This window comes from Homo sapiens, chromosome 3, assembly GCF_000001405.40.
Source record: "Homo sapiens chromosome 3, GRCh38.p14 Primary Assembly".
In the NCBI taxonomy this organism is placed as follows: domain Eukaryota; kingdom Metazoa; phylum Chordata; class Mammalia; order Primates; family Hominidae; genus Homo; species Homo sapiens.
Window position 1 is genome coordinate 142676526 of NC_000003.12, and position 26759 is coordinate 142703284.

Consider the following 26759-nt stretch of genomic DNA (forward strand, 5'->3'; position numbering starts at 1 on the left):
ATTGCCAGGAATCTTTTGAGTTATTTGTCTGATGCAGTTTTAAATATTCGCAGGGTTTCTCTTTTCTTTTTCCAGTAAGCGAGTATTGATTATTGACTGGAATGGGACATGAGGAAATGTAAAGGGAAGATATTCCTTATTTGTACCTAAATGAAAATAATGTTTTGATTCAGCCTTGTGTTATCCTTGGCTCTTTGCATTCTATTTTTTCTCACTATGTTGTAAACTCTCTGAGGGAATGTCTTTGTCATTGTTGTGTGTACCACAGTCCCAGCATACTTCTTTGGACAAAGCAGAGGTCTTTTCTTTAGTTTATAAAAAGTACAAAAGATTTACAAAGTAGAAAATAACCATCAAAAATATCCTTACCACCCATAAATGACTTATTAATATTCTAACACATTTCCTTCAGTCTTTTTTTTTATGTTTTTACTTAAAAAGGAAAACAAAACCTTACCCATAAGTACAGGATATTAGATTTTATGACATTAAATATAAAATATACCTTGACCTCCACCTACAATTCTTATCTTTCTTTGACTCTCAGAGAAATTCCTATTATGAACCAAATGGGTATTTTCCTATTCTTGTTTTAAAAGGTAAAATTCTAAAATATAGAGACAAAATTTATATTAATTTCTCTGAAAATGTCTAAATTATTGGTCTTAGATGAAATCTCTGGCTTCGTATCTTTCTGCAACAACAGTAATTTTAACAGTGTTGATACTACTTTATGAAACTTGGCTTCTTGGAGAATTTCTTTGTTTTAGGCTGCGGAATACTGATGATCATTAAGTGAAATAAAGACAAAACTAACATAAAGAAAATTCAGGGTGATGACTGGGCGTGGTGGCTCATGCCTGTAATCTCAGCACTTTGAGAGGCTGAGGCAGGAGGATCACTTGAGGTCAGGAGTTTGAGACCAGCCGGGCCAACATGGTGAAACCCCATCTCTACTAAAAATACAAAAATTAGCTGAGAGGTGGCACACACCTGTAATCCCAGCTACTCGGGAGGCTGAGGCAGGAGTATCACTTGAACCCAGGAGGTGGAGGTTGCAGTGAGCTGAGATCACACCACTGCATTCCAGCCTGGGTGACAGAGGTAGACTCCCTCTTAAAAAAAAAAGAAAATTCAGGATGGTTAAAAAAAATTAGGAGAAATGCTTAGATTACTATTGCAGTGAGTGATGGATTTGTTTTAGGAATGGGAATATTTCTTGGATTTTAAGAATTAAGTTCCGGCATGAATTATAGTTTAATTAATTATTATTATTATTTTTTGAGATGAGGTCTCTCTGTTTTACACAGGCTGGCCTCAAACTCTTGGGCTCAGCCTCCCAAGTAGCTGAGATTATATGCATGTGCCACCATGCCTGGCTTACTGTTTAATATTTTAAAGTAATGAATTGTTATTTTCAAAATTTATCTATTTTGGCTGTTTGCAATAATAAACTAAAAAAATTTCTTGGAGTATTAAACTAAATTATTCTCATTTTCTCTTTAGCAAAATGATCAACTTATCTGAACCAGATACAATTGATGAAAGAGCCATCAATAAGAAAAAGCTCACGCCATTCACTATTTCTGTAAGTATTTGCCCTTTGCTTATTATCATGTTACTATGCTGAGAAATATAAGACCTTTATTAATGAATGCTTGGACCCAGATAAAACCTTTGATTTAATTGTAATGCTATTCTCCTATAAAAACTTTTTTTTTTGGAATCCTTTTTTTTATTTTTATTTTATTTTATTATTATTATACTTTAAGTTTTAGGGTACATGTGCACAATGTGCAGGTTAGTTACATATGTATACATGTGCCATGCTGGTGTGCTGCACCCATTAACTCGTCATTTAGCATTAGGTATATCTCCTAAAGCTATCCCTCCCCCCTCCCCCCACCCCACAACAGTCCCCAGAGTGTGATGTTCCCCTTCCTGTGTCCATGTGTTCTCATTGTTCAATTCCCACCTATGCGTGAGAATATGTGGTGTTTGGTTTTTTGTTCTTGTAATAGTTTACTGAGACTGATGATTTCCAATTTCATCCATGTCCCTACAAAGGACATGAACTCATCATTTTTTATGGCTGCATAGTATTCCATGGTGTATATGTGCCACATTTTCTTAATCCAGTCTATCATTGTTGGACATTTGGGTTGGTTCCAAGTCTTTGCTATTGTGAATACTGCTGCAATAAACATACGTGTGCATGTGTCTTTATAGCAGCATGATTTATAGTCCTTTGGATATATACCCAGTAATGAGATGGCTGGGTCAAATGGTATTTCTAGTTCTAGATCCCTGACGAATCGCCACACTGACTTCCACAATGGTTGAACTAGTTTACAGTCCCACCAACAGTGTAAAAGTGTTCCTGTTTCTCCACATCCTCTCCAGCACCTGTTGTTTCCTGACTTTTTAATGATCGCCATTCTAACTGGTGTAAGATGGTATCTCATTGTGGTTTTGATTTGCATTTCTCTGATGGCCAGTGATGATGAGCATTTTTTCATGTGTTTTTTGGCTGCATAAATGTCTTCTTTTGAGAAGTGTCTGTTCATGTCCTTCACCCACTTTTTGATGGGGTTGTTTGTTTTTTTCTTGTAAATTTGTTTGAGTTCATTGTAGGTTCTGGATATTAGCCCTTTGTCAGACGAGTAGGTTGCGAAAATTTTCTCCCATTTTGTAGGTTGCCTTTTCACTCTGATGGTAGTTTCTTTTGCTGTGCAGAAGCTCTTTAGTTTAATTAGATCCCATTTGTCAATTTTGTCTTTTGTTGCCATTGCTTTTGGTGTTTTAGACATGAAGTCCTTGCCCATGCCTATGTCCTGAATGGTAATGCCTAGGTTTTCTTCTAGGGTTTTTATGGTTTTAGGTCTAACGTTTAAGTCTTTAATCCATCTTGAATTAATTTTTGTATAAGGTGTAAGGAAGGGATCCAGTTTCAGCTTTCTACATATGGCTAGCCAGTTTTCCCAGCACTATTTATTAAATAGGGAATCCTTTCCCCATTGCTTGTTTTTCTCCAGTTTGTCAAAGATCAGATAGTTGTAGATATGCGGCGTTATTTCTGAGGGCTCTGTTCTGTTCCATTGATCTATATCTCTGTTTTGGTACCAGTACCATGCTGTTTTGGTTACTGCAGCCTTGTAGTATAGTTTGAAGTCAGGTAGCGTGATGCCTCCAGCTTTGTTCTTTTGGCTTAGGATTGACTTGGCAATGCGGGCTCTTTTTTGGTTCCATATGAACTTTAAAGTAGTTTTTTCCAATTCTGTGAAAAAAGTCATTGGTAGCTTGACGGGGATGGCATTGAATCTATAAATTACCTTGGGCAGTATGGCCATTTTCATGATATTGATTCTTCCTACCCATGAGCATGGAATGTTCTTCCATTTGTTTGTATCCTCTTTTATTTCATTGAGCAGTGGTTTGTAGTTCTCCTTGAAGAGGTCCTTCACATCCCTTGTAAGTTGGATTCCTAGGTATTTTATTCTCTTTGAAGCAATTGTGAATGGGAGTTCACTCATGATTTGGCTCTCTGTTTGTCTGTTATAAAAACTGTTTTTTAAAGAGATGAGGGTCTTGCTATGCCACCCAATATAGATCACTGTAACCTCAAACTCCTGGGATCAAGTGATCCTCCAACCTCAGCTTCCTGAGTTGTTAGGGCTATAAGCATGTACCACTATGCCCTGCTAATTTTTTAAAGTTTTTGTGGAGATGGGGTCTTGCTGTGTTGCTCAGTCTGGTCTTGAACTAGTGGCCTCAAGTGATCTTCCTGCTTCAGCCTCCCAAAGTGCTGGAATTATAGGCATGAGCCACCATGCCTGGCCAAAACTGGATTTTTATTAAATAAAAATTCAGTTGGATTTTGTAATGAATGAAATGAAGATTCAAGGTACTTTGGATGCACTTACTTAAGCTGTAGTATTCAGTTTATATTATTGTAATTGTTGAATTATTTATTAATGAACACCTGTTTGATGCCAGTGCTCTTATTAGGTGGTTGAAAAAGAACACTGCAGTTTTATCATTTCACAAAATTTTAAACTAATCTTTTTGTACTAAATTGTTCTGTAGTTGGCTCCTCCATACAGATCTTGTATAAGTCCAGGTATTTATACTTACCACACTTTCCCCCTCAAAATCTCTAGAACAATGAGTGGATATTAATATTTACTGAGTACTTACTGGGTATCAGTCACTGTTCTAAACACATTATGTAAATTATCCTCCCAGCAACTTTATAATAAGGTATATACTATGATTTTATAGATGAGGAAACTGAGGCACTGACAGGTTATACAGAGGCAGAGCCAGGATGTGATCCCAGTCGTCTAGCGCCAGAGCTCATTTCTTAATCACTGTGTTACACTGCCACTCTCATGTGGTGGTAGTAATAGCAACTATTTAAGGTGTGGTTACAATAGTAGCTATTAAAATTCAGCTACTGTTAACCTGTGTCCTTCATTTGGCAAGTGCAATCCTTGATTTCACTAAAATTGTTGAGTCTTCTATAGAAAGCTAGTCTTCTATAGACTATTACCCCCTGCATATTTTGGAAGTGTGCTATCTAAAAATAAAACTGCATGATAGCCTCTCAGATCCACTCTGTGGCTACCGCAAAATACTTATAGAATATTTTTTCTTTATTTTCTTTAATGCACTAAATATAAATATTAAAGTAAAACCAAGCAATAAATGTATACGATAGTAAGAAATGCTGTATTTCAGATTGAGTGACCAAAAAAAGGTCATGTATATATTCTATAAATAAGATAGATGTTAATATTTTCAGTAATCATGGATATTAGATGAAGATCCCAGTACAACATGTGAACAATAATCTGGCAATTGCAACTGGAAATAGGCTTCTTCAAGAATGGTAATTTCTATTAGTGATATGCAACATTATTGACCTATTAGCAAGCAGGGGACAAGAAAGCCATGTAGTCAACATCCAATTCTTTACTTCTCAAAGATTACAGGAAATGAGGGAACCTGTTAGACAGTCCAAGCCTAACCATGTACCACTGCCCTAAGAAGGCAGGGCCACCTCTCTTGTGTCTCTTGTGTTGCCACCAGTTGTTTGTGGTTCCCTACTCTCCCTATCTTTCCGCATCAACACGAGTCTTCAGGAAGGCTGGGCATTCAGGGCAGTTGTCCATGGTAAGAATTGTATAGCAACTTCTCCATGGGGTTCTCCTGTTACTTCTTGTTCTTAAGATGTTTAGAAGTAGCTTAGTGTGGCCGTTCCATTCCCTACTAACTGGTAGGGCAATAATGTTGTATTTATCAAGTAGAAACTACCATTTACTTGAAAGAAACATGTTGCAACTCCTTATTTTCTACCCATTTTTAAAGCCAAATTACTTTAAGACATTTGATATGCTTGTAAAGCAAACATCTTTGATAAAATTAACATCAAAAGCGGTTTTTCTCCTGTATGACCAACACAACCCGTTGATAAGACAAAGCTGAGTTAACTGTTTAATGCAGTAAGAGAAAATACTTGCAAAGCTTTGTTAGTGTCTTGGTGCTGGGAAAGTGAGGGCAGCATCTGAGAATTGGAATTGTGGTTTAGGGCAGGTCTTTCAATATGAGAGGGGGCAAGAGGGCAAGATTGGGCAAGATTCTCAATACAGCAGCCCAAGATTGGTGGCAATAGCAAGGGGAGGATTTTAAGGTGAGGAGGTCAAAGAATCTTAGAGTATAAACTGTCATTGATGTTTTATTTGAAGAGTTAATGGGTCTTTTAGGTAGCGCCTGCAGTGAAAAATCAGACCTTTTGCCTAGGGTCAAGACTCCTGGAAGAATAAGATCATGGTAATGAAGACAGAGAGTAAAGTCATGCCAGTGAAGACAAGAGGATAGCACACAAGGTCATATTAATGTAGGCAGTAAGATGTGGTTTTGTTTGTCATTGTCCAGGCTGAGAGTAGTGGTAGGTTTTGGTTCTTACTAGTATTGCAATCAATTTAGCGAAATTACACACTTCTTTTGGCCCACAGTACCATGCTGTCAACTGCATATGACATGGGTTATTGTGAGGTTAATACTATTATTGGCTTAATTTTCAGTCCAGTTCTTTCCCCTGCTGATGCATTCTGGGGAATCACAACTGGAGCAAACATCATTTATGCTCTTGGAAGCAAAGAGAAAAATATTAGTGGTCATGCCTAAATCAGCAGAAGCTGTCTCTTGAAAGTTGCATAGATTTGATTTAAGGTAACTTAAAAAACATTTGAAGCAGGAGTGTTAATTAAAAACACCTGAAGTTATTAAAAATCTTAGATTTCCACAAAGTATTTGTAATTTGCTGTTAATTTTTTCATGTTTATGTTTATTTGTAGTTAATTATGAGGTTATAAAAATATTGAAGGCTTCTCTGGTTCTGCTGCTTCTTTCAGGAGAACTATATTTAAATGAACATTGCTTAATACTACTACCAAAATAATTCAAAATGCTAATTTTAATCGCCCCAGACGATCCCCCAAAGATACAGCCATTTATTTACTTGGAGCTCAATAAATCACTTCAGCACACTGTAGGAGGAAGCTGCTGAAATATTCACTATGCTTTGAGAACCTCTATGCTTTGCTGCTGTTGTGACCAGCCCATTAAATTGTCGCTATTACTGCTACAATATGAGAATGGCAGTAATGCATGGCGATTAAGAGGATGGGCTCTGGGCCAGGTGCGGTGGCTCACGCCTGTAATCCCAGCACTTTGGGAGGCCGAGGCGGGCAGATTACGAGGTCAGGAGATCTAGACCATCCTGGCTAACATGGTGAAACGCCATCTCTACTAAAAACACGAAAAACTGGCCGGGCGTGGTGGCGGGTGCCTGTAGTCTCAGCTACTCAGGAGGCTGAGGCAGGAGAATGGCGTGAGCCCAGGAGGCGGAGCTTGCAGTGAGCCAAGATAGTGCCATTGCACTCCAGCTTGGGTGACAGAGTGAGACTCCGTCTCAAAAAAAATAAATAAAAAAGAGGATGGGCTCGGGAGACCGCTGGGATCAGACCCCGGCCTTTCCACTGTGGAAACTGTCAGTGCTGCAGTTTCCTCATCTGTAAAATCCATCTTAAGAGTTACTTTAAAATTATCTTAAAACCTAATTGTACATCATTTTTTAAAGAAGTGCTTCCAAATGAGCACTTTACAAAAATATCATGTTGAGTTTGAGGTATTGGCAGAACATCCAGGTAGACATAACCAAGTACATATATAGATACACAGCTTAGAGTGGAGACTCAGAGGAGGTCTGGGTGGAAATAGGGATTTGAAAGTCATTGGCATATAAAGTAACAGTTAAAACCATGTGTTTTTTTTTTTGAGTAGTGGTATTTTCGTTGTATAAATATTATGTTTATAAATCTGAAATTTGGCAGTCCATTGTTTCTTATAGATAATTTTTATAGATAAGACCTTAGAAAGGACTTCCTCATGTGTACTTTTTTTTTTGGCAATTCAGGAAAATTTAAACCTAGCTCTGAATTCTGCCTCAGCCATTGGTTGTACAGTGGTCAACATTGGTGCATCAGATCTCAAAGAAGGAAAACCTCACTTGGTCTTGGGACTTCTCTGGCAGATCATCAAAGTTGGCCTTTTTGCTGATATTGAGATTTCCAGGAATGAAGGTAAGATCATTAGAAATATTTGCTGTTCATTGACATGTACTTGCTATGGGAAGAATTTACATTTCGCTGTTTTGCCCTCAGCTCTGATTGCATTGTTAAATGAAGGTGAGGAACTAGAGGAGCTGATGAAGCTTTCTCCCGAGGAATTACTGCTGCGATGGGTGAACTACCATCTGACCAATGCAGGATGGCATACCATCAGCAACTTCAGCCAAGACATTAAGGTTTATATTTAAATGTTCAAATTTGTGACATGAAATAAGGATGTGCAGTGTAAAAATAAAAGGGGTTCAGACTTAAATTTGAATTAAATTCACAAGAACACTTGGGATAGAAAATGAAAATTTGCATTACTGTGTGAAGTAGATCCCCCAATTATATTCACAAAATATATATTTTCTAAAAACCAGATATATTGGCTTTTAATAAGAACTACAACTGACTGTGAGAGGAAAGAGGTGCTAGCCTCAACAGATTAAAACACACTTTCTCATTTTTTATGCCTGAGATCTGCTAGATTATAATGAGGATGTCAGTCTGTTCATTTGGACTAATAATTATATCTGTTTACTGGTTTAACACTCTTACTCCCACTTTGCCAATAACCAGCTAACAGGAAATCAGATTATCTGAGGGTACAGAGAATCAGTAAATAAAGGGGATCTTAAGGTATGTGCCTTAACCAGGGTAGCTTAAAACACTTCCCTCTCTACTGGGAGAATCTTGTCAAGGAAACTATAACAGGCATTTTTGTCTAATGACAACTTTCCCTTGGTTACTGCCTGGATGGGCATTGCCAAGCCGGGTCGCTGTGACTTTTTTCTTCTCTCTGTTTCTTTATGTCCTCCCCCATCCTGCCCCCCAAGAGTAATCAGTGCTGGCTCTAATTCATGTTCCGTCTTTAGCTATATAACCTTCAGTCAGGTTATCTTTTTCCATAATGGCCTACAGGACAGTCTCTCAATTTGAAGTGACATTTTATTTCTCTGCTTTCATCTACTATACACTGTTATATTTGAAAGTTTATTTGGGAGATTTCTCTTATTCTGAAATCTCTGAAAATTCAGCTAATCAAACATTTATTCAGCTCTTTCTGAGGGGCATTATGCCCAGGCGATGCAAAGACTCAGCTCTTGAGAAGCTTGCCAATTCTACTCAGAGACAAACATGTACCAGAGGGATATTTCAGTTATCTATTGCTATATAGCAAATTATGCAAAATTTGCTTAAATAATGATTATTTCTCATCATTTTGTGGGTTGATGCATCTTGGCTGGGTGGTTCTTCTGCTTCACATGGTTTTGGCTGGGATTACTAACTCGATTACATTCAGCTGTCAGTTGGGCTCATCTGGAAAGTACACAAAGGCCTCAGTCACATGTCTGGTGCCTCAGTGCTCCTCCACAAGGCCTCTCTACATGGTGAGCTCAGGCTTCCTCACAGCATGATAGTCTCAGATAGTTGGACTTCTTATGTAGAGGTTAACTTTAAGAGAGAGGAAGCAGAAGCTCTTAAGATTTGGGCGTGGAAGCCCCAGAACATCACTTTCACAGCATTCTCTTAGTTAACGTGAATCATAAGGCCTGTCCAAATTAAAGAGGACAGGAAATAGCTTCTGCCTTTTGGTGGGAAGAGTTAATGTATGCATGGGGAAGAACTATATATCCATCTTTGGAGACAATGACATTAGATGATTTAATAGTGTGATCACTGTTTACTTATTAAGATAGGCAAGGGGTGCTGTGCACTACAGAAGAGGGGTTCTTAGTTCATCCTAGAGAATCCAGGGAAGGCATACGGGAGATAATACTTGACCTGAATCTTAACTGATGTTGATGCTTGGGTGTGTAAACAGATGGAAAAGTAAGGGAGGGTATCCAGGTGCAGGAAACAGCATTGCTATAAACTCTGAGGTGTGAAACAGGATTGCTTTGAAGCTCTGAAGTGTGAAACAGCATGGTACATTCAGGAACCTACAAGTAATTCTTTATTTTTAAAGTTATTCCATTCTTTGAGATAGAGGCAATTTCTTCAGTTTGAGCACTTGTTTTCCCTAAATTCAATGATGATTTTATTCGTTTTAAAAATGCTATTTCATATCTTTCCTTGAAGGACTCGAGAGCCTATTTTCATCTGCTTAATCAGATTGCCCCTAAAGGTGGGGAAGATGGACCTGCCATTGCCATTGACCTTTCAGGAATTAATGTGAGTGCAATTTTTAACTTTTAAAATATATTGTGGTAAAACAGACGTAGAAAATTTACCATTTTTATCATTTTCAGTGTTCAGTTCAGTGGCATTCAGTACATTTGCATTGTTGTGCAGCTATCACCATTATCCATCTCTACAAACTTTTCATCATCCTGTAGGGAAATTCTGTACTCATTAAACAATAACTCCCCATTTTCCCCTTCCCCCAGGCCCTGGTAACTACTGTTCTACTTTTTGACTATGAATTTGAATTTCAGTAGCAGGTACAGTCAAATTTAGAGTACAGTTCTCTACAAGCAGCATTCCCCAGTAGAGCCCTCAGCCCTCCATTAAAGTTTGGTGCTTTGCTCTATGGAAGTTTTTTCCATGCCCAAGGCTCCAAGCCTCCATGTCAAGCCAACTGGCTATCATGACGGAAGAAAGGGAACTGCGTAATTGTGACCTGGAGTATTTGTGGAATCAATCCTACATTCATGTTTCCCTGGTGCAAGGCAATTGGAACTCACCAGGGTGCTCTTTTGACTGTCAGCATATGCCAGGAAAGGAAGCAACAACCTGTTGTTAGATTTTTAAGCAATCAATTATCAGTTTTACCAGCTTATATTTAGAAATCTACAAAATAAAAATAGATATTCATGGTGTAGGAAGGACTGATACAGATTCTGACCTACCAAGCATACTTCCTAGGAATCTCATTCTTTTAGCATAAGTTATAAATACCAGGGATGGTTCTATCTAAATCAGGATGTCCAGTCTTTTGGCTTCCCTGGGCCACATTAGAAGAAGAATTGTCTTGGGCCACACATAAAATACACTAACACTAACAATAGCTGATGAGCTAAAAAAAAAAAAAAGGTGCAAAAAAATCTAGTGTTTTAAGAAAGTTTACAAATTTGTGTTGGGCCACATTCAAAGCTGTCCTGGGCCGCATGTGACCCACCGGCCGTGGGTTGGACAAACTTGAATTCTAAACATTAAAATTTGGTCAGATAATAGACTGTATGAAAATATATCACGTACTTAAAGTGCGGCGTCCGTAACATTTGGTTTTAAAGGCAACTTGAGTCATTACTAATTAATTATATCTCACATTATTATAATGACATATTTCAGAAACACAGTATTGCAACGCTCTGTAAAATGTGCAAATCATTTTAAGTAAAAAAATTAGGAACTTAAACTTATGGAAAATTTTGAATATATTCAAGAGAACAGACTTAGTATACTAAACTATCAGGTACTCATCCCTCAGTTTCAACATCTGCCAATTCATGGTCAATCTTATCTCGTTTATTCCCTATTTCTCTCCTCTCCTATATTATTTTGAAGCAAATCCTAGACATTACTTCATGGATAAATATTTCAATATATATTTCTAAAAGACAAAGACACTTTTAAAATAAAACCACAATACCTTATCATACCTTAAAAAAATTACAACAATCTGTAACATCATCAAAATATCTAGTCAATGTTGACATTTCCACTTGCCTCATAAATGCCATTTTTTTCATAGTTTATTTGAATTAGGATCTAAAATAAGGTCCACATGTTGTCTTTATTTGTTTGTTTTTTTTTTTTTTTAGATGGAGTCTTGCTCTGTCGCCCAGGCTGGAGTGCAGTGACACAATCTTGGCTCATGGCAACCTCCGCCTCCTGGGCTCAAGTGATTCTCCTACCTCCACTTCCTGAGTAGCTGGGATTACAGGTGCACACCACCACACCTGGTTAATTTTTGTGTTTTTAGTAGAGACGGGGTTTCACCATGTTGGCTAGGCTGGTATCAAACTCCTGACCTCAAGTGATCCGCCTGCCTCTGCCTCCCAAAGTGCTGGGATTACAGGCATGAGCCACCACGTCCAGCCACATATTGTCATTTTTTGATGTCTACAATGGTAACTTTTCTTTGTTAATTTAATAATCTGTTGCTTTCTCTGATTTCATTTATATGATTAATTATTTTGCAACTCTGGTGCACAGAATTAGGTAGGTTATCTTTGGTCATGATATACTCATATGGGTCTGTGCATACCCATTTTTAAATTTATTTTTGTGTGTGGTTGTTTGTTTTGAAATTGTAACAAGCCTCATGAACTCTCAATCTAACAGGAAAACTAAAACTTTGACGTGACATTTTCTGTACAGTTCTTCCCTATCCCACCTCGGTTTTCGCCCAGTGTGGTAACCACAGTCTTGAATCTTGTGTTCATTGTTGTTCTGCTTTTCTTTTTATGTAGTTTCCCTTCATCCAAATGTATCCCTTACAAAATTAAATTCTTCATTTTACTTTTTAACTTCCTTTAAAGTTTATCATGTTATACTTAAATTTCTAGTACTTCTTTTTGGCCTTGTATCTCTAAGAGTTACCCATATTGGATGTCATTGTGTGAATATACAAATTCATTCATCTACTCTCCTGTTTATAGGTATTTGGGTTGTTTCATTTGTTTCCAGGGTTTTGCAATTGTGAAAGGTGCTTTTCCCTATGATTTTAATTTTTAAAATATGTATTTCAACTTGTTTTTCATCAAGAAGAGCCTTCTGGAAATGTCACTCAGTGTACAGTGGGTATGATAACTATGCCTGTTATCCAGAGGGCACTCTACTAGCTGGTCTTGAATAAGTTATCTATAGTGCAACCAGTAGGAGCTTACTGATACAATATTTGAGGATTTTGCTGAGTATTTTAGCAAAAAGGGTAAAATATAACTCAGTTATCCCAGCAAGGAAATTCAGAGACTTTTTTCCTTTTAACTTAAAAGGCACGGGGGCTGGGCTTAGTGGCTCACGGCTATAATCCCAGCACTTTGGGAGGCCGAGGTGGGCGGATCAGGAGTTCGAAACCAGCCTGGCCAACATGGCAAAACCCTGTCTTTACTAAAAATACAAAAATTAGCTGGGCATAGTGGCATGTGTCTGTAATCCCAGCTACTCAGGGGCTGAGGGAGGAGAATCACTTGAACCTAAGAGGCAGAGGTTGCAGTGAGCCAAGATCACGCCACTGCACTCCAGCCTGGGGAACAGAGCAAGACTCTGTCTCTAAATACATAAATAAATAAATAAATAAATAAATAAAGGAATGGGTAAGTTGACTTGGAATTACTACACATTTTGATCTTATTTTGAGTTATTATTTGATATATTTGTGGAAAAGTAATTGCTTATAAACATGTATACCAATAAAAATTATGCCAATTAAAACTTCAATTGTAACCATTTTTGTTTTATTGTTTAGGAGACAAATGACCTGAAGCGTGCTGGACTCATGCTTCAAGAAGCAGATAAACTGGGCTGCAAACAGTTTGTTACTCCTGCAGATGTGGTTTCAGGCAATCCTAAACTTAATTTAGCTTTTGTAGCTAATTTGTTTAACACATACCCGTGCCTGCACAAGCCGAATAATAATGACATCGATATGAATTTACTGGAAGGTGCGTTCTTTCTGCCTTTAATTGACTTGCTATATTTATCTTCTTATGGTATTGTCTTACTTCACTGTCAGAGATAGGGGATTGTGGTGGGAAATGCAATTTAGTGTGTGTAGGTATGTGTATCTATTGAAAAATTAAAATTATGGAAGGTGGTTGCTGGTTTTGGTTAAAAGAGAATGCTGGGGTAAATCTTTTATTTCTCCATAAGAGGTTAGTGAAAACTATCATACATTTAAAATATTCTCATAAATGATCACATAACAGCTCTACCACCAACATGGACAATGAATTATCTATTAGAATAAAATAATTATTTGTAGGTGTTTTTCTCCTTTGAAAGGTCCAGTTTGACTCTAGTATTGTTCTCTTTTTAAGGTTTTTAGTGTACATGAAAAAAATTACAGTGTTCGTTATTTGTCTTTTGTGTGGTCTATCGTTATCTGTCTCATAATATATAATACTTTCCTGTTTTGCTTCATGAAATGCAGATTTGACCCCTCCTAATGTAGGTACTGTATTTAGTACTTTTCTATACTCTATAAATATATTCATTCTGAATGTTCTTTTTATTAGTACCATTTATTCTTTCCATCTGGGTTGATATTTTACTTTTTGCATTGTTCATGCTGTGTTATTTCTCTCTTAATATGCCCATAGAATGAAACACAAATAAAACTTAATTAGAATAGCAGAACAAAGCTTTGATTTTGTAAAATTTCTACCTAATTTGCCTTCTATAATGATGGGATATTGTAGTTGTAAACACATTAGAACTCAATTTTGAGAACTGGAATTCATGATTTGATGTAAAATCTTTATCCTTCTCCTGTGACAAAATGTCAAGTAATCTTTGAAAGGATTCATTTAGGTTCTATAACATATTATTTTGTATCAATTAGCTATGTTATATTTACTGAACCTCATTGAAGCTTACAGTATATGAATCATAATAACAAAACATTCTCAATACCCAGTTCTTACTCATTTGTTTCCCAGCCTTTCTTTTTTTCCCACTCTCATACATACCAACACCCACATTAGTATCAGAACTTAAAGTAAAAACAGTGGCAGTGGTAATGGCAGTTGTTGAAGGGAAAGGCAGTTGTCAGAGGAAGGCGCCAATCTTAAGATTTTTCTTGCTAATTGCCCTGGTTTGGAGAAAGCAGGGATTCTTCTTGGTGGGGAGAGTATGATGTGCGGTATTCATGATCTCAGTGTTCATTCTCTCACAAAACTCACACTTATCCCTTCTTTCCCAGTGAGACAGAATGAGAAATCAATTTCATGATCTTTTTCTGCTTGACTGCCATAACCAAAGTTCCAGTGTCCTTGTCACCTCATAATTACAGTTTTGTGATTAATGAACGACGTTTCAGATTTAACAAATATATTCTTCAAAGAATATGAGTAATTCATTCTTCTTGAAGGTCCCGTAAAATAAAATAAAGATTATATTTTCTATGTAGATACGTAACTGAGAGGGAAAATAGACAAAAAATGTAGATTTTTCAGCGAAGAGAAATTTAGGGTGAGAGATTAGAACTTGAAAAAAAATAAGCAAAAGCAACACTGTTAGGTTTTATCAGTCTGGAAAATTTCAAAATCCCTCTGTCAGTAGAAGGCATTGTTTAGAGTGGCATATTAAAAATGATCTGCTTTTTATAGTCACTGAATTCTTGCTAGGTATCTTTTCCAACTTGCTCGCTTTCTTATTTTTCATGTTTGAATTCTTTTTGCTAGTGTTCAGCATGCTTTTGGAATTTTTCAGTGTGAATAGGATTGCTAAATATTTCCATTATTATTTACTGTCTATTAAGATAACATGGGAAATATTTATCAGTCATCTTTATTATGTATGTCCTCATACATCTGCCAAAAATGTATTTGACTTTGACTGTCATTGGATTATTTTCCTCTGTAAATTTGTGTTTTAATATATCCTTATGAAATTTGAAGCTTGATCATATCACATCCCAAATTCATATGTTAGTATGTCCTCATTGGCAGAGAATTTTCTCTCTAGGGAATTAAATAAAACACAATTAAATATTAAACGCTCACATCAAATTGAACCAGATATGTGGGCTACGTACAGAAAGATCATCTCAGAATTCATTTATGATTACAGAAGGTACACAGGCCATAAACTATCAGACTTTGTTCAAATCATAGTTCCACTATTTAATCTGAATGACCTCTGTGAGCCTTGGTTTTTTTCATATATAAAACAAGACTAATAAACTTAATTTGAAGAGTTACAGAGCAAGCTAAATGTGATCATGAATGGAAGAATACAGTATGTGTTTATTAATGGTCAGGGAGGGAGGAGGAAAGCACTTCATATGTCACAGCACATTTGAGTGTTAAATATATGTTAACTCCTCTTTTCCCTCTTAGTAACCTACTTCTAAGATATTTGTTATTTTTATTACTATTTTTTATTATTTGTAGACGTCAAATTGAGCCTGCAAATGAAAAGAATGTTTTATAGTTCTTTCAATCTTGTATATCAGCAATTAAGATTTTACTTCTTGAAATTGTATATCAGATCTAGGGGGAAAAAAAGGTTTTACTTCTAAGATTGCTTTAGCTGTCTATAATCCAGACAACATTTTCCAATCTGGAACACATATATCTTTGTAATGCTTTACCATGGCTGTTGCACAAATGCATAGTGCCTCTAGCTTTGAGCATTTATTTACCAAGACACTTTGAAATGTTATTAGATAAATAAATGCTCATTTATAAAATCTATTTTACTTTCCAGGTATCAAAAATTAAAATAATTATATAATCAGTTGAGAACAATAGGAAGAAATATGAACCCCCGAAGATAGTTTCAGAACTCAATCAAAATGCAAGTTTAGTTATTTTAAAATATTATTCACTGCATCATTAGGTTCAACAGAATTTGGATATTTTAATTAAAAATTAAACCATTATGGCACTATTAATCTTCATAATTTTAAGACATTTAGATTTTCCTAGATGGAAATAATGTAAAACTTCTGTAACTATTAGAAACATATATATATATATCTTTATGATAGATAGAGAAACAACTGAGAGGTAAATCCAAATCAAAGGCATCAAGTTATTGATCATAGTATGTTTATATTTATGTCACTTTGGGGATAGTTCATAGATTTAATTTGTACCTGTTTAATAATTCCTACAAATAAGGCTGGCATGGATTCTAGAAATATTTAGTTTAGCTTGGTTATTCTTAAAAAAAGATTCTCATGTAGACTGTTTATTATAAAGTGGTGGTAGCAGATACAACAGACTGATCAGTTACCTTTTATGCAGACCAGAGGGAACAAAATTTAAGCAAGAAATTATAGGGCTACATAATAGAGCAATAATTAAAGCAGATTCTGGGAAAGCTGTTAGATAATGGCATTGAAATCACATGAAACTACAGTGGGTAGATGATTTCCTGAACAGTTGGCACAAATAACAGAATCCTTTAGATCTGACAAGGCTTGCGTTCCTATCATGGGTGTGCAGGTTTATACTGTCTTTGGCACTCAATGTGAAGATGACTGTTGCAATCGCTCTATACGAACGAGCCCCTGGAACGCAGATGATTATAGATTTATGTGCCAAATTGTCCTGTGAGTCTCACATGGGCCAAAATCTAGAGAGTGACTTGAACTTGCCTATAACTTAGAAGTGATGACAGGTGTAAATGTTTCAGTTTTTCAGGAGTCTGCTGATAAGATGTAAACTAGGCCATTCCACTGTCTAATAACTTTGCCGAAGAACAAATAATCATGATAGTTACTTAGAACTATTTGCAGTCAGGAGATGACTAGAAGGCAGACAGTGGCAGAGCCAGCCCACATCCCTGCTCACTTTGTGGTATACTATGACCCGCATTTTCCTTATAGATGATGTAAGCACTGTTACAAAGGGAATGCTCAGGGAGGTATGGTTAAATAACAGCACCTGAAGGAGTTATCTCCTTGAGGGGATCTTTGAGGTCCAGGAACTTACTATGATGAAATCTGTCTTTCTCTTATCAACCTGTATTGGGTCTGTGTTCCTTATGTATTTTCAGTAATGATAATCTAAACTAACTCAGGAAGCCTGTAAAATAGTTATATTCCCCTCATTGTGTGTTTTTATATTTACCTGTAATCCCCTCTGCCCTTCATTGTGTGGTGTAAAGTGTAGGTCTGTGTGCTGAGAAACTTTCCTATGTAAAACCATAATTTGTACAAATTTAGAAACACTGCACCGAGAAAGGTATAACTTTTCTATTTGTGTTTAATGTGCTAATGTTACCCTGACTGCGAAAACATTTTGTTTTTATTAATGTTTAGTGAATCCCTTTTGCATCTAATCATAATTATAGACCACAGAAGTGTATCTGTTATTTCTAGGTAGAGAAACCCATGGCTCAGTACTAGTTCACAGACATCAAAGGGAATCTAGAAGGAGAGATTTAGAGCAAATGGAGGCTTCCTAGATAGTAGGAAAGAAGGGACTTTGGCATTAAGAGACTTTTTTTCTCCCTTTAAAGAAACTGTAGTATCTAAAGAACCATGGCAAGGTAGGTTTGACCAGTTTGTACCTGCTAGAATGGTTTAACATATAGTTCCTGGTTCCTTTTGTCCTGAGTCATCAGTGTGAGCTTGTGTCTACTCTAGGAGAGAGCAAGGAAGAGAGAACATTTCGGAACTGGATGAATTCCTTGGGAGTCAACCCATACATTAATCATTTGTACAGGTAAATATTTTATTGTGCTTCAGCTTTACTGTCAGGGTCCAACTTTTCAAGTTTCAAACTGTAGGCATGTTTAAATGGAACATTTTCTCAAGTTGCAAGAATTTTAGCCAATTTTTAGAGTTTCAGGATGCTGGGAATTGGCAATACAATGGATTTTAAAAGAAAGCTACTATTCAAAAAAGGAATAATAGTTATGTTTTTGATGATATACGTAAATCAGTAAAGATAATCCTTTTTTATAGTTATTGATTGTAAAAATAATTTCAACTTTAACAGATTAGAGTAACAGTAATAACTGATAAATTGTTGTTATATCAGTATTTTTATTATGTCATTTTTCATTTATTTTTGCCAAAACCTTAATTATTCCATAATTTTTGTGTATATTTTTTTCTAATTTGTAAAAGTAACTTGTTTTCCTTGAATAATTGTTATAGCTTATCTCATTCTTTCTTGTTTAAAAAATGATAACACATTATTGACATTAGTAGGGCTAAGAAAATATTTTACTAAATCAACTCCTGGGCTAACGATGCATCTTTCTAAGTGTGGATGAGAGGAAACCATTCTTCTCTCTTTATTATACAATCTACCAGCCTGCCTTGATAAAGTGCAAAATAAGCCAACTTCAGCTAGTTGTATTTTTTTTTAGAAAAAAGTTCTAATTAGCTAAATGTATTAATAATTTATATACCCAAGAAACTCCTTAAACAAGATTATGATTAACTCCTTAAAGAAGATTAATGTCACAACAGGCCAAGTTCACTGGTTCACTGAGGATTTATGATGTTGTAATTTCTGCTCCTTGGTGTTTATTCACAATGTTCTTTAAAATTGAAAACCAGTGTTACCTTATTATGGTAACTGGCTTTGATGTGATAGACCCATATTTGTAAAGCTCTTAAAGAGTGTGTAAATTTCAGCTGGATGAGGAGATATACGTCAATTAGACCAGAGCTCCTGTTACAGTAGCAGGGAAGTTAAAACACAAATATTGAAGGTGAGGAGGGATTCACTTTTTATGGACTGATTTGAAAGAATGTCTATAATATATAGTCAAGAAAAAAGAATAACAGGTCTAGTATGATCCCATTTTGTTTACAATTTGAGTGTGTGGATATTTGTATTCGAATTTTAAAAGAAAATCTAGAGAGGTACATAGCAAACTCTATGTAGCCTGGGTAGTAGGAGTAGAGAATAGTAAGGAGACTTACTTATTTATTTATTTATTTATTTATTTATTTATTTATTTATTTATTTATTTGAGATGGAGTTTCACTCTTGTTGCCCAGGCTGGAGTGCAATGGTGTGATCTCGGCTCACCGCAACCTCTGCCTCCCTGATTCAAGTGATTCTCCTGCCTCAGCCTCCCAAGTAGCTGGGATTACAGGCATGTGCCACCACGCCCAGCTAATTTTGTATTTTTAGTAGAGATGGGGTTTCTCCATGTTGGTCAGGCTGGACGCGAACTCCTGACCTCAGGTGATCTGCCTGCCTCGGCCTCCCAAAGTGCTGGGATTACAGGCGTGGGCCACCGTGCCCAAGACTTTTACTTTTAATCTTAGTAACTTAAACATGATTGCATTTTTTTGGACCATGAGCATGTACTTTTCTATAATTAAAGAGTAAGCTTAAAAATAGCAGATTAAATCGATTTGTTGATACTCATGTAATTATTTCATAAATGTCAGGAACACTAGAGTTCTATCACTGACAGTGGAGAAAAGAATTGACCAAACCTTTTAGCTAAAGATATCTGAAGAATATCTTTATTCAAGAAATACCAGCATAGGGCTTCTGAGCATATAGTATTTTTTCTTGCAAAAAGAACTGTTACTTTCAGAAAATTCTTAAAAGTAACATAATCTTGGAGAACCGTCAGATGTAGAAGAACAATAGGTGGACATCTAGTTGACACTGGAACCATGTGTCCATAGAATTGTGTCTGCATCATATTCCTAAACCCACCCCCAAGAATTTTTAGGTTCCTGCCTATAGTATAGCCAGCCCATACCAAAACAGCTAGATTTTCACTGAAAATTCTCTTCTCTAAAATGTTATATATTTCAAGAACTATTAGTCCTAGAGTTTTTCTATGACCAGTTCGTTCTAGAACTCATCTTGAAGTCTCTGGAAATCATTTAAACTCTCTGGACCTCAGTTCTATTTGCAAAATAATAATAATAATAATAATAATAATAATAATAATAATACCATACTAGACAGGAATGAGAATGAATTCATTTAAAGTAAAAAAGAAAAATACATGAAACATAAGATTCCAGAACCTATAGAAATACTTCAGTGATTTTTTTTTATACAGAATGTTTCATGTGCCTAAAGATAATCTATTCAGATCTTAATTACCTTCATATCAGACTTTCTCCCTCTATCACCCAGTACTGGGCCCAGCTCCCTTCACTGCCATATGGTTTGTGCTCAGAGAATGCAAAGTAATTTAATATGAACCTTAGCGAAACATAACTTATTGGACAAGCTGTTGGAGGAGAAAAGCCATATAATATATCACAAAGCTAGCAATTTAAAAAATCAATTGCTATTGCTTTATGTCCTTAGCATACAGCATTGAAAATAGACTAAACAGCCATACGTTAACCTTCTCAGGAGAACATATTTTTCTGAATCCAAAGTAGTAATATTTTTACTTTGAGAATTCCTACTTGTTCATAAGTTCCTTCCTCTTAACCCTCATTCCCGAACACAAACAGCTGCCTACTGAGTAGCTATTGTGATTTTCCTGTAATTATGTTTTAAGTTAAAAAATAATGTATAAATAATACAGGAACTTATTCTTACTGTACAAGTTTTAGGAAGTATGTAAGTATATGGAATAAAATAAAACATTCCACCCTTACTCTCTCATACTCCCCTTTTCCTGACCTCTTTCTTTACCTAATAGAGGTAATTGCTATTAACTGTCCTTAGCATATATAGGTACATAAATACATTTGACTCTAAATTTTTTTAAATAAATGAGATCAAATTGTATGAAGTGTTCTGCCATTTTCTTTTTAAAATTTGATATGTCTTGCAAAGCTTTTCATATCAATACATAGAGATCTACCTTATGTCCAATGGTGGCCAAGGAGTTTATAGTATAGTTTACTTAACAGCTCCCTACTGCCAGGCACTTAAGTTGTTTCCAAATTTATAAATATTGTGGCAATGAATGTCCTTGGATGTATACCTTTGTAAATATTTATGTAAACATTTTGGACAGATTCTTAGACTGGAAGTTCTGGGTCAAATGATATGTCCTGTCATTCTTTAAGAATTAAATGACTTATGTTCTTAAAGATATAAGTCTATCTCCAGTGTACTTAATAAAATTAGGTAATACCCAACATTTCCTCCTCCTTTATCTGCTTTTCCTTCCTGCTTCAGTGACCTTGCAGATGCTTTAGTGATCTTTCAGCTCTATGAGATGATCCGAGTGCCAGTCAACTGGAGCCATGTCAACAAACCTCCTTATCCTGCCCTTGGAGGGAACATGAAGAAGGTGAATGAAATAATGGCCATGGATATATTGTTATTGTTCTGATATGAAACAAAGAATTTAGAGTTTCATGAAGTTATACGTGCTCTGTCCCCACAATTCTGATTCAGACCAAAATGTGTTAAGCTTAATAGCCTTTTTACAAGTTTGCTTTAATAAATTTGAAGATGAAGGCAATCCCTCTAGTCAGACACTTTATATAACTATTTTCATCTTTATCAAGTCATAGTACTTAATGTTCTTTGAGATGTCCTGTAAATGTATTCTTTTTTTACAATTGGTATAACGTTCTGAATGTTTATTGGTTATCCACTCATTTATTCAACAGATATTTATCAATTACCTAATACCTATACAGTGTTATGCAGGATGTAAAAAAAAAAAAAAAGTATAAAGCATGGAGTTGGTCCTCAGGAAAGCCTAAATAAATTAGGGAAATATGTGTGCAAACAACTACAATATGGTACATGGTAAACAAAAGTGAATATTATGAGTTCTAGGGAAGAAAGTTGAAGAGCTACTGAAATAGTAATAGCAAAATGGGAAAGACACATGAATGAACAATTCATAGAAAAATAATGATGAATAATAGAAATATGAAAAACTTTTCACCCAGAATAAAGAAATGCAATTTAAAACAAGAAACTATTGAACTGCATCCAATGTAAGAGGAAGTATTCATTTGTATAATCCTTCTAAAACCAGTTTGTCAATACATATTAATCTTCCAAAAAATCTTTTGACCTAATTTCACCTTTTTCCACCTATCCTGATGAAAAAATCAGAAAGACACAAAGTTGGGTGGCAAAATGCTAATCATAGCAATGTTTATACAGCACACAAGAAAACAACCTAGTTGTTCAGTAAAGGGTTAATAAAATTGATACACCCATAAGATGAAGTAAAATGTGCCATTAAAAATAGTGTTTGACAGGAACAGAAAACCAAACACTGCATGTTCTCACTCATAAGTGGGAGTTGAACAATGAGGACACATGGACACAGGGAGGGGAACATCACATACCTGGACCTGTCAGGGGTTGGGGGGCAAGGGGAGGGAGAGTATTAGGACAAATACCTAATGCATGCAGGGCTTAAAACCTAGATGATGGGGGCCAGGTGCAGTGGCTCACACCTGTAATCCCAGCATTTTGGGAGGCTAAGGCAGGTGGATCATGAGGTCAGGAATTCGAGGCCAGGCTGGCCAACATAGTGAAAGCCCATCTCTACTAAAAATACAAAAAATTAGCCAGGCGTAGTGGTGGGTGCCTGTAATCCCAGCTACTCGGGAGGCTGAGGCAGGAGAATGGCTTGAACCCGGGAGGCAGAGTTTGCAGTGAGCCGAGATGTGCCATTGCACTCCAGCCTGGGTGAGAAAGCAAAACTCTGTCTCAAAAAACAAAACAAAACAAAACAAAAACCTAGATGATGGGTTGATGGGTGCAGAAAACCACCATGACACATGTATACCTATGTTAACTATCCTGCATGTTCTGCACATGTATACCAGAACTTAAAGTATAATCAAACAAACAAAAAATAGTGTTTTAGTAATAGTGGTATGGAAATGAGCAGGACACAAAATTATATATATACATAATATGAATCTAATTTGTTCAAAATACATAACACATACAGAGATGTATTCAAAAGGGACTTTTAGTTTTCCACATCTATAGAATGAAAATGTATTTATAGACACTAATTTTAAAGAAAAAAATTTTAAAAGACTTTTAAAGGGAAATACATCATAATATTAAAGTAGTTAAATGGGTGGTATAATTATAAAGAGTTACTCGTATGTTTCAGCATTTCTAGTCATTGGACTGCCTGCATTTTTAATTTCATTTGATTTGCATATAATTCTTTTCATGGGAGTAGAATTCAGAAAATTTATTGACTAATTTCATGTAAGTTTTTTCTCCAAAATTTTGAATGCAAAATGTAACAGGAAAACAGAAATTAACCATTCATTATACCTGGAATTTTAATGTGAACTACAAATAAATACATATGTCACAAATGAATCATATGCAGAATACTTTTTCAACAAATACAGAATGAAACATAAAGCCTGAAATAAATTCAAGATGTTTAAAAAATGAAGAAGCAGTACTTTCATGACACAGTATCACAGGGAATTATTTTATGGAATTTGGGCAATAATCAATACATGTCACTTTCCTTCGCTTACAAAGTTCTTAAAGCTGCACCATTAAAATAGCCTTTCTTCTTCATTATTATTATTATTATTTTATTTATTTATTTATTTATTTGAGATGGAGTCTCGCTCTGTTGCCCAGGCTGGAGTGCAGTGGCATGATCTCGGCTAACTGCAAGCTCTGCCTCCCAGGTTCATGCCATTCTCCTGCCTCAGCCTCCTAAGTAGCTGGGACTACAGGCGCCCGCCACCACGCTCGGCTAATTTTTTTGTATTTTTAGTACAGACGGGGTTTCACCGTGTTAGCCAGGATGGTCTTGTCTCCTGACCTCGTGATCCACCCGCCTTGGCCTCCGAAAGTGCTGGGATTACAGGCGTGAGCCACTGTGCCCGGCCTTCTTTACTTTTAAGTATTTCTTTTCACTTGAACCCTTGTGTCCCATTATGTAACTCTTCTCATTGTCTAAATGATCTAAGCTTCATTTTTGTCCAAAGCATTTAAAGTACTTGGTAATTGATATGGTTTGGCTGTGTCCCCACCCAAATCTCATCTTGAATTGTACTCCCATATTCCCATGTGTTGTGGGAGGGACCCAGTGGGAGATAATTTGAATCATGGGGGCAGTTCCCCCATACTGTTCTCATTGTAGTGAATAAGACTTAAGAGATCTGATGGTTTTATCAGGGGTTTCCGCTTTTGCATCTTCCTCATTTTCTCTTGCTGCCACCATGTAAATAGTGCCTTTTGCTTCCTGCCATGATTCTATGGCCTTCCCAGCCATGTGGAACTATAAGTCCAATTAAACCTCTTTTTCTTCCCAGTCTTGGATATGTCTTTATCAGCAGTGTGAAAACAGACTAATACAGTAATCATTTCTTCCATTAACTCTGTGAGACTGCACTCCAAGTTTTTCTTGCTTTCTTTGTGCTCATTCTTACCTTGCATAGGTTCTTCATCTTTTAGCCTGAGAACTCAGTATTTCCAAGGCCTGGTTCTTGGGCCAAAGGTCTTAACTTTTATATTTACACCCTCAGGGAGCAGATCTGTTTTTAGTGTTTTAATTGCAGGTTGAGTATCCCTTATCCAAAATGCTTGGGACCAGACATATTTCAGATATTGGAATATTTGCAGTATACTGGTTGAGCATCCTTAAGCTGAAAATCTGAAATGCTCCAGTTAGCTTTTCTTTTGAGTATTGTGTTGGTGCTCAAAAAGTTTTAGAGTTTGGAGTATTTTGGATTTTTGGATTTTCAGATTAGGGATGCTCAACCTGTACTACCATACACATGGATTACCTCTAGGAACCTAATTTCTCATTCTTTCTCTAGTTTGGTACCTCTCTAGATCTCTTAGAAGTGTTCTGCCAAATTTGGAACCAAATATTGCCCATAAAAGAATATATGCTTTCCCTTATGCTAGCACCTATTTCCAGTTTCTCTTTCAATGCTGGTCCTATCAATATATTCTTAGGCCTCTATACTAGCAACCCTGAACTCCTTTCTCACCATCATCTCCCTTAGGAACTTTGGTAGAACTGTAAAGCAGATGGCTCTTCATTGAAACACATTTTACACATGTGATTACTGCAGTTTGCTATAAAATTCTCCCACTGAACTGGGTGTCCATGGTAAATATGCTGGCTTTTTACTCTCCTGTACACAGTGTTAAATAATTCAAGTGCTAATGTTATTTTCCATAAATTAGGAATCTATTCTATTTTTTAAAGTCTACATTCTTACAGCATATATTTCTTTTAAGCGGGCTAAGCCTATAATATGATTCCAAAAAATGTTTTGGAATATTATCTCTGCATTAAAAAATTCTTTTAAAAACTTTTTAGAAGTAGGGTTTCACTATGGTGCCCAGGCTGGAGTGCATGCTATTCACAGGCGTGATTATAGCACAATACAGCCTTGAACTCCTGCCCTTAAGTGATCCTCCTGCCTCAGCCTAAGTAGCTGGGACTACAGGCATGTGCCACCACACCCAGCTTCTCCTTGGATTTTAAAAAAATGAATATATATCAAACATTTTATTCAATTTGTGAAGTTAGCCAGGCAGATGTTACAGCAGGTTCCAAAGATCTTCCATTTTTATTTGTAGTAAATTGAACTTTGGGAATTTGGATTCTCTTTTTTAAGAACAATAACCATATATTTGTACAAATTCTTTTATTGTATTAGCTGTCTCACATTTCCTGCAAATATTTTCTTACTATTGGGGAAAATGTATCTGTGTACCTTAGGTTAGACTGTTTTGTAATGGTACCTTAACTAACTCGTGGAAGAAAATTAAGAAAAGTAGTGTTCTCCTTTTAAGTGTTTATTCCAAAAAGTACTTAGTGTAAGCACTTTTGTTCCTACTGGTGATATAAGATTATGAGAGCTTATAATTTCACTGGAGCAAAAAGACTCAGATACATAAGAATTTATAAGTTCTGATGTAAGAAACACAGCAGTAGATGATGCAGGTAAAAAACCCTATTGACTCCAGGATAGATAAAAAAAATTATTAGAGAAAGGACCTAACTGGACTTATATCACTGGAAAGAAGTATTGTGGTTGGGGAGGGTAAACAATTTATTAGGTGTTTATGTATCAGATTCTTACTTTAGGCAGGGCATTGTGCTGAGAGTGGGGACAGTATGATATAGATTTGTGCACGTAAAAATTTTTGTCCTTTAGAAGAAGCTTATACTCTAGTTGTTGAAAGGAAACACATACAAGGCTAAGTATAGTAGAAGATGGTGCATAAGCATTACAAAGTAAGCATTCTTAGGAGTTCAAGCAAAGGATAGATCATTATTAGCTGGTACAGTTAAGGTTAAGCCTTTATTGAAGAAAGTGGGCCAAAAGCTGAATTTCAGAGGATAAGTAAGATCTGGGTAAAGAATATCGGAGATGAAGTTAGATTCTTAATAAAACAATTACTTTCTTTTCTATTTTTAAATTTTAAATCTACACAAAACATCATCTATTACTTCTATGAAAGGAAAGCAGGACACCTAGGTTTTTAGGCACACATGTGCCATTAATAAGCTATTTCATCTTGGATAGTC

The 26759-nt window shown here is 36.0% G+C and overlaps 1 protein-coding gene across 16 annotated transcripts in view; it reads left to right on the forward strand.

The window, feature by feature from the left end:
- Positions 1 to 26759, forward strand: part of PLS1 (plastin 1) — a 117272-nt gene that overhangs the window by 80133 nt on the left and 10380 nt on the right. For all 16 annotated transcript variants that reach the window (XM_011512903.3, XM_047448323.1, XM_047448324.1 and 13 more), the window contains 7 exons: positions 1507 to 1588; positions 7481 to 7646; positions 7728 to 7870; positions 9759 to 9851; positions 13093 to 13288; positions 17944 to 18022; positions 21428 to 21542. In XM_011512903.3, the coding sequence (XP_011511205.1) occupies positions 1507 to 1588; positions 7481 to 7646; positions 7728 to 7870; positions 9759 to 9851; positions 13093 to 13288; positions 17944 to 18022; positions 21428 to 21542 (874 nt within the window). The remainder of the gene's footprint in view (positions 1 to 1506; positions 1589 to 7480; positions 7647 to 7727; positions 7871 to 9758; positions 9852 to 13092; positions 13289 to 17943; positions 18023 to 21427; positions 21543 to 26759) is intronic.